General features: G+C 38.4%; 1 protein-coding gene across 2 annotated transcripts in view; it reads left to right on the forward strand.

The window, feature by feature from the left end:
• CYP4Z1 (cytochrome P450 family 4 subfamily Z member 1) overlaps positions 1-15,939 on the forward strand; it is a 62,794-nt gene that overhangs the window by 1,518 nt on the left and 45,337 nt on the right. The window contains exons 2-3 of one of the 2 annotated variants that reach the window (XM_024453856.2): positions 10,533-10,625; positions 11,580-11,721. In XM_024453856.2, coding sequence (XP_024309624.1) covers positions 10,563-10,625; positions 11,580-11,721 — 205 coding nt within the window. In that variant the 5' untranslated portion in view covers positions 10,533-10,562. Of the gene's footprint in view, positions 1-10,188; positions 10,626-11,579; positions 11,722-15,939 lie in introns of those variants that run through there. The other variant, NM_178134.3, reaches the window with a different exon arrangement.

Raw genomic sequence — 15,939 nt, forward strand, 5'->3', positions numbered from 1 at the left:
TGCAGTAGCTGGTGCCAGTTGTTCCTTTCCATGTTTAGTGCTTCCTTCAGGAGCTCTTTTAGGGCAGGTCTGGTGGTGACAAAATTTCTCAGCATTTGCTTGTCTGTAAAGTATTTTATTTCTCCTTCTCTTATGAAGCTTAATTTGGCTGGATATGAAATTCTGGGTTGAAAATCCTTTTCTTTAAGAATGTTGAATATTGGCCCCCACTCTCTTCTGGCTTGTAGAGTTTCTGCCGAGGGATCAGCTGTTAGTCTGATGGGCTTCCCTTTGTTACTTCTTAAGAAAAAAAAATATATATATATATATATATATATATATATATATATATATATGTATATTCTGCTTCAATATTACTCTCTTCTCTTTTGGAGACTTCAACTACATGTATGTCAGATTATTTGATATTGTCCCACAGGATCCTAGGACTTGGTTAATTTTTTTTTTTTTTAGCTTTTTTCATTTTTTTTTTTTAGATTGCATATCTTCCAATTATATGCCTTTAAAGTCACTGAATTTTTCTTTTGCTCATCCAGTGAGTTTCTAAATTTCAGATATTGGACTTTTCATTACTATACTTCTAAGTTTTAGACTTTTCATTTGATTTTTTCTTGTAGTTTCTATTTAACTGCTGAGATTTCCTGTCTATTCACTCATTAAGATTATATTTTCCTTTAAGTCTTTTTAAAAATCATTTGTAAATATTTATAATCACTGAAAATCTTTGTCTGCTTAGCCTTATGCTTGGACCAGCTCCAGATTGGTTTATATTAACAACTTTATTTTTCTTGACTATGGGTCATTTTTTCCTGTTTCTTTGTATGGCTAGTGGGTTTTAATTGAATACTGGACATGGTGAATAATATAAAGACTTTGGATTCTAGTTTTCTGAAGAGTGTTAATTCTTATCTTAGGAGGCAGTTCAACTACTGGTTGATCACCATGAACTTCTGCAACTTTGGTTTTACATTTTGCTTGTGCAAATTCTTTTTTAAAAAAACTATTTATCAAAAAAAACTTTACTTGGTTCTGAATCAAATTAACTTACTGTGTGAGATCACATATCTGTGCCATCAAAAGCTTTTCATCTCCTGAATCAGGGCATCATATTTTCTCTCTATGAAATAAATTAGGTCAAAGCATTTCATTTCCTCTAAATATTTTGGCTTCTACTACAAAGTTGTTTTCACAGTTGAATAAAATTTTGTGAATTTGCAGATAATTATTTTTATTATAATTATAATTTTTCACTTTTAAAATGGTGTCCTTGCTCCAATAAAGACCTTCAGGCTGAGGTAGTTTGCTGGTATGATTCCAGGCTCAGAAACATTTTCTGGTTCCCCTACACTCTGGCTAAGCTGAGTGTTGCACTTAGGACATCCTCGATCACCACCTCACTTTGTGAGTGTTTTTCAATTAGTTCTTAGAATTGTATTTTATAAATTTGAGGTGCTAAGTATCCCCTGCATGGCATGCTTTCCTGCTTTTACTGCTTATTCAGTGCCATCCCAGAGGACCTACGGGCAATCCTTGACCCTAACACAATCCTCATTCTGTTTCCAGAGCACTGCAATGTGGACTCGCATTTCTTCTCTCTCCTTATCTTTCTCTCTTTCATACACCACACCTGTAAACACATGTATATTCCTGACTACTACCAATATTTTTGCCCTGCACCAGAACCACATAAGTGGTTCCAGTATGTAGTGCTCTTTCTTGTCCCTACTCTACTCAGACCTATGTAGAGTCCTTTCTATAGTAATAGACTAGCACTCTTTACCTCCACAACCCTGGCAGGGACAGGCAGAGACAGGGGCCTATGAATATTATTTAACTATTTTTTGGTAGCAATATCATTATTTATCTTTCATGACAAGTAGATTCACTGTGGTGTTCTAATTTTTGTAGTTATTTATTTGAATACAGATATACATCTTAATAGTATGTATTTGCCCAACTTATAAAAGCCAGTGAAGGATAAAGGCTAATATAATACAATATAAATTAAATCATGAGAAATATTTACAAATTAATCTAAACTTTAAATAGAACAATTTGCAAGTATACATTTTTGAAACATTGCCTGAGATTCATAAGAACAAAGTAATCAAAGATACTAGCATATTTTGGCCAATAAATTTTATTAACAATTTTATACTTACATAATATTTTTATATGTCCCAATGCCTTCATAATTAATTCTGAGACATTTTTGCCTAAACCCTGAGGTTAACATTTTACATAAAGCAAAATAAGTTGCAGCTATAGAAGGTTACCATACAAATAGCCAGATAATTAAATGAAAAACAAACTTCATTTTGTGTTCTGTGGTTGAATATATAATCAAGGTAAAATGAAACACAAAGTTACTTTCTTTGTATCCTGAAGTCACTTAGAGCCTATCCAAATTTGGAAGATAGTTTTATAAAATCTAAATGGGAGATCAGCCATTCATTTCCAGTTGGACCCATGTGAAAACAATAATTTGCAACAGGCTGGCCAATAATTTCCTGACTCTGCCCATGTAATCTCCTGGAATTTGGCTACGTAAATATCATGTCTGGTTTTGGCATACCTGCTGTACTTCTCAATTTTCATGTCTAAACATCACCTGCTTGCATGTAGGAAAACCCAAAAGGCTTTCTCATACTGTGTATGAGAAGAACCTGATGAAAGAACATTTAATTTCCCTAATTTAGGTAGCAAAGAAGGCTGGGCTGTTTCCTAAGCATCCCCTGGGACGGAGGCTGATGGTCCCCTATGGGGCACTTTGTTTTAAGCAAGCATTTATCTGATCATGCACCTTCAGCCTGACTGTGAGTTTTAGAAAATTCTGCTCCCACCCTTTTCTCCTCTCCCCAAGACTTTTACTTGCTCATTATGTGAAGTCCAGGGCACTCTGCAAACATAAATATGAAATCACTCTTTTCTCCTTGAAAATTTATTTCATGAACCAATATTAAGTATGGCCAAGTTATGCTTGCATCATGTATTGGGAAATATCCTAGTTTTGTCTTGGATTCATTTAATAGATTTATTTATCTGATAAGCAGAAATTCATTTACATTTTTAAATATTTGTTAGACAAATTCACTTCATTTCTATGATCCCTTTCCAATGTTTGCTCAAAACTTCTTGTAAAATACTTTTCATATACTTTTTAAAAAATTAATAGATTATTGAATGTAAATGGGCTAAATGTCCCACTTAAAAGGCAGAGTGGCAAGCTGGATAAAAGAGCAAGACCCAATGGTATGCTGTCTTCAAAACACCCATCTCAAACATAATGAGACTCATAGGTTCAAGATAAAGGGATGGAGGAAAATCTACCGAGCAAATGGACATTAAAATAAAAGCAGGGACTGCAATCCTAATTTCAGACAAAACAGACTTTAAACTAACAAAGATCAAAAAAGATAAAGAAGGGCATTACATCAAGGTAAAGGGTTCTATTTAAGACCTAGCTATCCTAAATATATATTCATCTAATACAGGAGCACCTGGATTCATAAAGCAAGTTCTTAGAGACTACAAAGAGACTTAGACTCACACACAATAATAGTGGCAGACTTCAACCCTCCACTGTCAGTATTAGACAGATTATCAAGGCAGAAAATTCACAAAAATATTCAGAACCTGAACTCAACAGGACTAAATAGATCTGATAGACCTCTACAGGACTCTCTATCCCAAAACAGCAGAATATATATTCTTCTCATTGCCACATGACACATACTTTTAAATCAGCCACATAATAGAACATAAAACAATTCTCAGCAAATGCAAAAGAACCAAAATCATACCAAACACACTGTCAGAGCACAGTGCAATAAAAATAGAAGTCAAGATTAAAGCAATCATTCAAAACCATATAATTACATAGAAATTAAACAACAGGCTCCTGAATGACTTCTGAGTAAACAATGAAGTTAAGGAAGAAATCAAGTTCTTTGAAACTAATAAGAACAAAGGTAGAACATACCAGAATCTCTGGGACAGAACTAACAGTGTTAAGAGGGAAGTTCATAGCATTAAATGCCCACATCAAAAAGGTAAAAAGATCTCAAATTACCAATCTAATACCACAACTGAAAGAATTACGGAAGGAAGAGCAAATCAACTCCAAAGCTAGCAGAAGACAAGAAATAACCAAAATCAGAGCTGAGCTGAAAGAAATCAAAACACAGAAAACTATTCAATGTTTGCTTTCTGAAAAACATAATAAGATATATAGGGCATTAGCCACACTAATAAAGAAGAAAAGAGAGAAGATCCAAATAGACACAATTAGAAATAACAAAGAGGATGCTACCACTGACCCCACAGAAATAAAAATAACCATCAGAAACTACTATGAACACCTCTATGCACACAAACTAGAAAATCTAGAAGAGCAGAATAAATTTCTGGACACATACACCTTCCCTAGACTGAACCAGGAAGAAATCAAATCCCTAAACCGACCGATAATGAGCTTCAAAATTGAATGAGTAATAAATAGTCTACCATCCCAAAGAAGCCCAGAACCAGATTAATTCATAGCCATATTCTACCAGATGTACAAAGAAGAACTGGTAGCATTCCTACTGAAACTATTCCAAATAATTGAGAAGGAGGGACTCTGCTCTAGCTCATTCTATAAGACCAGCATCATCCTGGTACCAAAACCTGGCAGAGACACAACAAAAAAAGAAAACTTCAGACCAATATTCTTGATGAACATTGATGCAAAAATCTTCAACAAAATACTTGCAAACCAATTTCAGCAGCACATCAAAAATCTAATCCATGATGCTCAAGTAGGCTTCATCCCTAGGGTGCAAGGTTTGTTCAACATACACAAATCAATAAATGCGGATCATCACATAAGGAGAACTAAGTATAAAAGTCACTTGATTATCTCAATAGATGCAGAAAAGGATTTTGATAAAATTGGACATCACTTCATGTTAAAAACTCTAAATAAACTATGTATTGAGGAACATTCCTCAAAATAATAAGAGCCATCTATGACAAACCCATATTAGCATCATAATGAATGGGGAAAAGATGGAAGCATTCCCCTTGAAAACCAGCACAAGACAAGGATGCCCTCTGTCACCACTCCTATTCAACATAGTATTGGAAGTCCTGGCCAAAGCAATCAGGCAAGAGGAAGACATAGTTTGAAGATGACAGATAGCAGGCAGAACTAGCTTGCAGCTCCCACTTGGACAGAACAGTGTGTGAAGACTCACATCATGAACTTTTACTCCAAGAACCACTGCAGGAACATACCGGGAAAGCTAAGAGAATCTACAGACCTTTGAAGTAACTGGATTACTGCTGCAGGCTCCCTGAGAAGCCAAAAACTGTGATTCTGCTTCCTTTCTCAATGAGGAGGCTCGTGGTCTGGAGCAAGTTCTCAGCCCTGGTCACTGGCTGCCTGGAAATAGACTCATTGCAGCTGGGGAGGGCACAGTAGGAGTGAGACTGGCCTTTAGGTCTCCAGGCTGTGTGGGAGCAGGGTGAGCCCTCTGACTACCGGCTTTCCCCCACTTCCCTGGTGACCTGTATGACTTATCAGAGACAGCCATAATACCCCTGGGAATATAGCTCCATTGGACTGGGAACTACACCCCCATCCCCCACAACAGCTGCAGCAAGCCCCGCCCAAGGAAAGGCTGAGTTTAAACATGCCTACCCTGACCCCACCTTGTGGTCTTTCTCTACCCACCCTGGTAGCCAAAGACGAAGGTCATAATCACTTGGGAGCACTATGGCCCTGCCCACCACCTGAGAAACCTGAATACATAACCAGGTGTCTCTACAGCAAGTTTGCATCTTTCCTATAGGACCACAGCTGATGCACTCTTGAAAGTTCCATTTCCTGGCTGGAGGCCAACCAACACAAAACCAGTGCACTAACAAAAACAAAACCAAGGACCCTCACAGAGTCCACCTCACCCCTCTGCTACCTCCACTGGAGCAGGCACTGGTATCCATGGCTAAGAGACCTGAAGATGGATCACATCATAGGACTCTTTACAGACACTCCCCAGTAGCAGCCTAGAGCCTCGTAGCTCTGCTGGGTGGCTAGACCCAGAAGAGCAAAAATAATCACTACAGTTTGGCTCTCAGGAAGCCCCACTCCTAGGGGAAGGGGGAGAACATCACATCAAGGGAGCACCCCTTGGGACAAAATAATCTGAACAGCAGCCCTTGAATCCCAGATCTTCCCTCTGACATAGTCTATCAAAATAAGAAGGAACCAGAAAAAAACAATTCTGGTAATATGACAAAACAAGGTTTTTTCACACCCCCAAGAGATCATATCAGCTTACCAGCAATGGATCCAAACTAAGACAAAATCTCTGAATTGCCAGAAAAAGTATTCAGAAGGTTGATTATTAAGCTAATCAAGGAGGCACCAGAGAAAGGTGAAGTCCAACTTAAAGAAATCAAAAACATGATACAGGATATGAAAGGAAAATTCTTCAGTGAAATAGATTGCACAAATAAAAAACAATCACAACTTCTGGAAACTGAACACACACTTACAGAAATGCAAAATACACTGGAAAGTCTCAGCAATAAAATCAAACAAGCAGAAGCAAGGCCTTAACAGCTCAAAGACAAGTCTTTCAAATTAACCCTACCCATCAAAGACAAAGCAAAATAATTTTTAAAAATAAACAAAGCCTCCAAAAATTTGGGACTACGTTATATGTCCAAAACTAAGAATAATTGGTGTTCCCAAGGAAAAAGAGAAATCTAAAATTTGGAAAACATATTTGAGGGAATAATCAAGAAAAACTTCCCTGGCCTTGCTGGAGATCTAGACATCCCAATAAAAGAAGCTCAAAGAACACCTGGGAAATTCATCACAAAAAGTTCATCACCTAGGCACATAGCCATCAGGTTATCTGAAGTCAAGATGAAGGAAAGAATCTTAAGAACTGTGAGGCAAAAGTGTCAGGTAACCTGTCAAGAAAAACCTATCAGATTAACAGCAGATTTCTCAGCAGAAACCCTACAAGTTAGAAGGGATTTGGGTCCTTTTTTTTTTTTTTTTTTTTGAGATAGAGTCTCACTCTGTTGCCCACACTGGAGTGCAGTGGCGCGATCCCAGCTCACTGCAACCTCTGCCTCCTGGGTTCAAGTGATTCTCCTGCCTCAGCCTCCTGAGTAGCTGGGACTACAGGGCACACCACCACACGCCTGGCTAATTTTTCTATTTTTAGTAGAGATGGGGTTTCACCATGTTGGCCAGGATGGTCTCGATCTCCTGACCTCGTGATCCACCCACCTCAGCTTCCCAAAGTGCTGGGATTACAGACGGAGCCACAGTGCCCAGCCTAGGGTCCTATTTTTAGCCTCCTTAAACAAAACAATGGTCAGCCAAGAATTTTGTATCCAGTGAAACTAACCTTCATCAATGAAGGAAAGATAGTCTTTTCCAGACAAACAAATGCTGAGAGAATTCACTACTACCAAGCCAGCACTAAAAGAACTGCTCAAAGCTCTAAATCTTGAAACAAATTCTCAAAATACACAAAAATAGAACCTCCTTAAAGCATAAATCTCACAGGATCTACATAACAAAAACTCAATTAAAAAAAAACAAGGTTATTCAGGCAACAAATAGCATGATGAGTAGACTAGTACCTCACATATCAATACTAATATTGAGTGTAAATGGCCCAAATGCTCTACTTAAAAGAAACAGAACAGCAGAATGGATAAGAAATTACCAACCAAATTTCTGCTGTCTTCAGGAGACTCACCTAACACATAAGGACTGACATGAACTTAAGGTAAGTGGAAAAAGATATTCTATGCAAATGGACACCAAAAGTGAGCAGGAGTAGCTGTTCTTATACCAGACATAACAACTTTAAAGCAACAGCAGTTTAAAAAGACAAAAAGGGACATTATATAATGATAAAAGGATTAGTCCAACAGAAAAATACTGCAATTCTAAATATATATGCACCTAACACTGAAACGCCCAAATTTATAAAACAATTACTATGCGATAAACAACAACACAATAATAGTGGGGGACTTTAATACTCCATGGACAGCACTAGACCGGTCATCAAGACAGAAAATCAACACAGAAACAATGGACCTAAACTATACCCTACAACAAATGGACTTAACAGATATTAACGAACATTCTACCCAACAATTGCAGAATATACATTCTATTCATCTGTACATAGAACATTCTCCAAGATAAACCATATGATAGGCCACAAAACAAGTCTCAGTAAATTTAAGAAAATCAAAATTATATCAAGTACTCTCTCAAACCACAATGGAAAAAAAATTGGAAGTCAACTCCAAAAGGAACCCTCAAAATCATGAAAATACATGGAAAATAAATAACCTACTCCTGAATAATTTTGGGGTCAACAATGAAATCAAGATGGAAATTTAAAAATTCTTTAAACTGAACAATAATAGTGACACAACCTATCAAAAACCCTAAGATACAGCAAAAGCAGTGCTAGGAGGAAAGTTTATAGCATCAAATGCCTATATCAAAAAGTCTGAAAGAGCAAAAATAGACAATCTAAGGTCACACCTCACAGAACTGGAGAAAGAACAATCAAAACTCAAACCCAGCAGAAGAAAAGAAATAACAAAGATCAGGGCAGAACTAAATGAAATTGAAACAAAAAAAATACAAAAAATAAATGAAATGAAAAACCTGGTTCTTTGAAGAGATAAATAAAATTGATGAACCATTAGTGAGATTAACGAAGTAAACAAGAGAGAAGATCCAAATAAACTCAATTAGAAATGAAACAGGAGCTATTACAAACTGATACCAGAGAAATACAAAAGATTATTCAAGACTTCCATGAATGCCTTTATATGCATAAACTAGAAAACCTAGAGGAGATGGATAAATTCCTGAAAATATACCACCCTCCTAGGTTAAACCAGGAAGATATAGAATCGCCGAACAGACCAATAACAAGCAGTGAGATTGAAATTGTAATTTTTTTTAATACCAACAAAAAAAAAGTCCAGGACCAGATGGATTTACAGTTGAATTCTATCACACATTCAAAGAAGAAGTGGTACCAATTCTATAGACACTATTCCACAAGATAGAGAAAGAGAGCATCCTCCCTAAATCACTCTGTGAAGCCAGTATCATCCTAATACCGAAACCAGGGAATGACATAACAAAAAAAGAAAACTACAGACCAACATCTTTGATGAACATAGATGCAAAAATCCTCAATCAAATACTAGTGAACTGAATCCAACAGCATATCAAAAAGATAATCCACCATAATCAAGTGGGATGCAGGGATGATTTAACATACCCAAGTCAATAAATGTGATACACCACATAAACAGAATTAAAAACAAAACCACATGATCATCTCAATAGCTGCAGAAAAAGCATTTAACAAAATCCAGCATCCCTTTATGATTAAAACTCTCATCAACAAAACTGGCACACCTTAAGGTAATAAAAGCCACATAACAATAAACCCACAGCCAACATTATACTGAAAGGGGAAAAGTAGAAAGCATTCTCCTTGAGAACTGGAACAAGAGAAGGATGCCCACTTTCACCACTTCTATTCAACATAGTACTGGAAGTCCTAGCCAGAGCAATCAGACAAAAGGAAGAAATAAAGGGCATTCAAATTGGTAAAAAGGAGGTCAAACTGTCACTGTTTGCTGATGATATGATCGTATACCTAGAAAAGCCTAAAGACTCATCCAAAAAGCTCCTACAGGATGCAAAATTAATATACACAAATAAGTAGCTCTGCTGTACACCAGCAGCAACCAAGCTGAGAATCAAATCAAGAACTCAACCCCTTTCAAAATAGAAAAAAAAAAAACTTAGGTATATACCTAAGATTTTGGGTGACGATAATGTGTCATTGTAGGTTCATTAAATGTAACAAGTGTTATACTCTGGTGGAGGATTTTGATAATCAGGGAAGCTGGAAGGGAGGGGTGATATATGGGAACTCCCTGAACTTTCTGCTTAATTTTTCTGTGAACTTGAAACTTCTCTAGAAAGATAAATTCTATCAGAAACATAAACAAAAAAGAACAGAGAATGAGAGTGGGGGAGATTTTTTACAAGAATGTATAGAGGTGTGACAAAGGATGACTAGATGGGAACTTTTAGATTCTGGAAGGGGACAGCAGTGCAGCAAAGCTTTCATATGGGTGTGAGCTGTCATGCACATGGCTCCTATCTGAAAATCTTGTTCTTCTAGAATCCAGGTCTGCTGGCCAACATCTCAGCAGTTTTCACCCTGCAGACTTAATTAGGCTTCCTCTTCCTTATGTCCCCTCCCTGAATATGGCATTTTGAAAGCCCAGTGTTGCCCAGGGGGCATCTCCTTTGTGTTTATGAGAGACCTGCATTCTCCCTGGCTCAGTTCTCTCAGGCTCTCCAGAGCTCAGGACCTCTGAGAAGAATGGAGCCCTCCTGGCTTCAGGAACTCATGGCTCACCCCTTCTTGCTGCTGATCCTCCTCTGCATGTCTCTGCTGCTGTTTCAGGTAATCAGGTTGTACCAGAGGAGGAGATGGATGATCAGAGCCCTGCACCTGTTTCCTGCACCCCCTGCCCACTGGTTCTATGGCCACAAGGAGGTAAGAGGAGAAAATTAGTTGGGGAGGTTAAGGGACAGAAAGATGAGGTATTAAAAAAAAACAGCACAGACTGGTGGGGCATTATGTAATATGCAAAATGCTTTCACACCAATCTCATTGTGATTTTTACAAAAATTCTATGATATGGGGAGGAAAGATATTGTTATTCCTGTTTTACAGATAAGAAAACTGAAGCCTAAAATAGAAATGCAACTTTCCTGTGCTACCCACCTCATAAATGACAGAAATGAAACTTGAACCCTGGTCTTCTGATTCAAGGCCAAGGTCTTTACTATTCTCAGGACTCTGGGTGTTCTAGAGAGAAATAGACCAAGCCAATTGTTAACAGGAACTATACCAAGATGCTACAGCTTCTAATGAAGCTGGAAATAGGAAAACATTTAGCAAATTAGAAAGGAAAGTTGAAAGATGAGCAGCAACCAAAAGGAGTAAAAGGCATGTGAGACTTCGCTGCTTTGGAGGCAGATAAAGCATGAGTGGGTATATCCAGAGCAAAGATGAGGTAGGGCATCAGTGGTTACTAACGGTTTACCTTGTGCCAGGAATTTTATGTTTATAATTTCACTTAATTTTCATGGCAGCTTTGTAAAATATATTTGGTCTTCCTATTATACACGTGAGGAAATCATGGCCCTGATGACCTAGATAATGAATAAGTGTCAGATTGGGATTTGAACTTAAATCTCCAAAGTTGACGCTGGAGTGAGAAGACCAATCGCTCAGCAACAGGTCCTGAGCACTTGCCCAGGGCCACGAAGATTCTGTGGAGGTGCTGGAGACACATGGAGAAGAAAACTTGCCTTCAACAGATGTGAACCTGTCTGATGGGGTGGTGTCCACAGATCCTCAACTTAGCACATGGTCCATCCGAGGGAAAGGGGTCCTCCTGGGGTGACAACCTTTACTAACCAGTCATGACTTATCTTATGACAGTTTTACCCAGTAAAGGAGTTTGAGGTGTATCATAAGCTGATGGAAAAATACCCATGTGCTGTTCCCTTGTGGGTTGGACCCTTTACGATGTTCTTCAGTGTCCATGACCCAGACTATGCCAAGATTCTCCTGAAAAGACAAGGTAAAAACCAAGAGGGGCTCACAGTACAGAGCAGCAACAAAGAGGGTCTCAGGGTGTCTGTGGCACTAGGGAAGGACAGGTTGAAGCATTTTTAAGGGAAATCCATCATTTGATATGTTGAAGGGAAGATTCCATGTCCTCCTCAACATCATAGTCAGGACTCTATTGAGGGCTGTTGTAGAGGATTCTCTGATCCATTTTCAAGCAATCTTCTCTCCCTACATGGCAAATTTTTTCTGATGCTTCCATCACATTTACTTACCTCAGACCCCCAGGACTACCACTTACCATCACTGTGAACATACAGTGGGTTGGGCATGCAGTGGTGGTTTGCTTACAATTGGCTTAACGCCAGTGCTGCACAGAGATGAGTGTTCCCCATAGATGCTTTGCCCACTAATGTTGCCTGTCCTCTGGGAATGGCCAGTGCCAGGTTGGAGGCTCTGGCAAGTGGACACCAGTTCTCCATCTGGTCCCTAGTGTGGGAATTCCGTGGAATTGCAGAGCTGCTTCTTGGCCGTGGCAAGATGTGTGTAGGATTCCCCCACTGGGCTTTCCTCAACTGCCTGTTGGCATATAAGGCTGGCCTTCGCCTCACTCTCCCAGCTACCTACATGAGTCATTCAGTTATAAAATGCCTCCATACCACTCTTGGTGCTTCTGCAAAATTTCAAGCAGCCTGTGGCTCTCTCATTTCACAGGGCACTCTGCCAGAATCACCATCTCAGCTTTCTTCCTGGTAATGGTGCAAGAAATGTCTGGCTATCCAGTTTCAAACTTTACTCTGCTCCCCTTTATGCTCTGCTCTCACCTTTGGACCTTTGCCCAAAAGGGATGAAAGAGGAAAGTGATTGTTTCTCCTTTGGAGTTATTTTCTCTTCTTTATCTACAAATTCTCTCTTCAGTGTGTTCACTCCCTTGAGAAGGGAGGCTTAGTTTCTGGCTGTTTTTCTTTTTTTGTGGTTGGTTGTAAGGGCATCTGGGCAGGCCATACAGGGAAAGCCATCCTTCCTGTTCATATTTTCTTCAGTCCCCATTGTCTTCAACTCACAACCTTAGCTCCTTCCCAGAGAAGCCAAGAATTTCTCTCCCTCTCTTGCTTTTTTTCTCTTACTGTTTTGTTTTCTTTTCCTTTGGTTTGTATTCCCTGCTGGTGCCTAAAATTGTCTCCTCCTCAGAGAAAAGGATAATTTTATGCCTTGAAGTGTGATAACTGTACAGTTACATGAGAAAAGAGCAGAATAATATACAGAGTATGGGATGTTAAGTTATTTATCTGCCACACATTAGTACTTCTTTTTGAGTCCCACTGCAGAAGCACGGTGGCCAAAAAAGGAGAGCTGAGAATCCTGCTCTTATTATTTCTGGCCAGACCCACCCAAATCATCTTATCCCCAGCTTTTTATTTTGAAAATTTTCAACCCTACAAGAGAAATTTTGAACACCCATTGTACCCTTCTCTAGTGTCATTAATTGATATCATATTCCCATATGTGCTTTTCTTTTAATTACATTCATTTTATTGTGGTAAAATATACATAAACTAAAAATTTACCATTTTAAATCACTTTTAAGTATACAATTTAATGGCATTAAATACATTTACATTGTTGTGCAACTATCACCGCCATCCATCTTCAGAACTTTTTCATCTTCCCAAACTGGAACTCTGTACACATTAAACTCTAACTCCCCATTTTCCCCTCCCCCCAGCCTCAGGCAACAACCATTCTACTTTCTGTCTTTTTAAATTTCCCTATTCTAGGTACCTCCATAAGTAGAACCATACAATATTGTCCTTTTGTAACTGGCTTATTTCATGTAGCATAATGTCCTCAAGGTTCATCCATGTTGTAGTATATATCAAAACGTCCTTTCTTTTTAAGGCTGAATTTCCATTGTATGTATGTACCACATTTTGTTTATCCATTCCTCTGACAATGGACACTTGGATAACTTCTATCAGTTGGCTTTTGTGAATAATGCTGTCATGAACATGCATGTACAAATATCTGTTTGGGTCCTTTCAATTATTTCAAGTTGATACCAAAAAGTGGAATTACTGAGTCACATGATAATTCTATATATAATTTTTTGAAGAACTGTGATAGCATTTTCCACAGTGGCTGCACCATTTCACATACCCACCAGCAATGCACAAGGGTTCCAATTTCTTCACGTTCTCACCAACATTTGTTATTTTCTGGGGATTTAAAAAATAATAATAATAGCTACAATGGCTCACACCTGTAATCCCAGCACTTTGGGAGGCCAAGGCAGGCAGATCACTTGAGCCCTGGAGTTTAAGACCTGAGCAACATGAAAAAATCCCATCTCTATTTAAAAAAAAATAGACCAGATGCAGTGGCTCAAGCCTATAATCCTAGTACTTTGGGAGGCCAAGTCAGGCAGATTACTTGAGGTCAGGAATTCAAGACCAGCCTGGCCAACATGGTGAAACCCCGTCTCTACTAAAAAAAATACAAAAATTAGCCAGGCGTGGTGACACATGCCTGTAGTCCCAACTACTTGGGAGGCTGAGGGAGGAGAATTGCTTGAACCTGAGAGGCAGAGGTTGCAATGAGCTGAGATAGTACCACTGCACTCCAGCCTGGGTGACAGAGCAAGACTTCGTCTCAAGAAAAAAAAATAATAAAAAATATGTTGTATTATTTAAACTAATACTAATAATAGCTATCCTAATGGATGTGAAATGGTATCTTATGGTGGTTTTTATTTGCATTTCTCTAATGATTAATTATGTTGAACATCTTTTCATATGCTTACTGGCCACTTATATATCAACTTCGGGGAAATGTCTATTCAAGTTTGCTGCACCTTTTTCAATTGGTTCTTTGGTTTCTTTTGTTGTTGAGTTGCAGTAGTTCTTTATATCTTCTGGATATTAATCCTTATCAGATATATGATTTGTAAATATCTTCTCCCATTCTGTTGGTGTCTTTTTTACTCTGTTGATAGTGTTCTTTGGTGAGCAAAAGTTTTTTATTTTATCAAGTCCAGTTTATCTATTTTTTCTTTCACTGCCTGTGCTTTTGGCATCATATCCAAAAAATTATTGCCAACTCCTATGTCATGAAGTTTTCCTTATGTTTTCTTCTAAGAGTTTTAAGTTGTAGCTCTCACATTCAGTTCTTTGATTCATTTAGTGTTAATTTTTTATATGGTATAAAGTCTGCATTTGCTCATAGATGGATGGATGATAGATAGATAGATAGATAGATAGCCAGAGCCAAACAACTTTTTATGCATAAGTTTTATCTGAGTTAATAGAGGTTAAAAAAATAGGGATTTTCTATTTCTTCTCCATTTTTCAGCTTTCCCTATCTATAATGAGGAACTTTCCTCCTCTCCCCACCCCCATCTGCCTTTCTCTCACTGTCTCACTTTCTGTCCCTCTGTTTCTCTTTCTGCATACCAGTAAGGATTCATGGATTGTTAAGAAATCAGTGTATTGAATTTCATTATCATCATCTTTTTTGATGGCCAAATTGTCCCAGATATGGAGAAGGAGACAAAGCAAGAGAAGAGGCTGGTAGACATGGGCCCAGTCATTCAGAACTTTGTAGGCTGAGTAATGGTGAGCATCAAAGGAGAGAAGTACTGTGAATATCTGTGTGTTTTGAAACATCACTCAGACAGCTGTATGATGAATGGCTGGAGGGAATCAAGGCTGGAGACCAGGAATCCACCTTATCCTGCTGCACTGTCCAAAGGACAGATGATGGAGGCCTGGACAAAGGTAGAGGGGTGGAGGTGGAAATAATTGTATGAATTCAAGAGATACTAATGAATGTACCAATATTTTTGACATGGGGGTATCAAGCTGTCAAGCAGTCCCTAAGCTACTTAGCTGGTTCACTGCACATTCATAAATTCAGTCAGCAAAAAGCCAGTGGGCCTGAATGGATTTAGACTGTTTATTACTCATGGCATAATAGGTATCATGAGCTTCACATTAACATCGGCCCCACTATCTCCCTAAGTCCTATAGGGGCAATGGAGAGGAACTCAGGTTAGTACTGTGCACACCAGGGTCTGTGTTACATTTGAGGAATTCAGACACTACAAGATCCTGACCATATATAGGGGCTATTGCCAAAAATGCTCTTCCTCACCCCTAGAAATAGGCATTGTCTTTTATGTGTGTGTGGCAAAATACACATAAGGTTTGCCATTTAACCGTTTTAAAGATCCAAT

This window comes from Homo sapiens, chromosome 1 (assembly GCF_000001405.40).
Source record: "Homo sapiens chromosome 1, GRCh38.p14 Primary Assembly".
Lineage (NCBI taxonomy): Eukaryota > Metazoa > Chordata > Mammalia > Primates > Hominidae > Homo > Homo sapiens.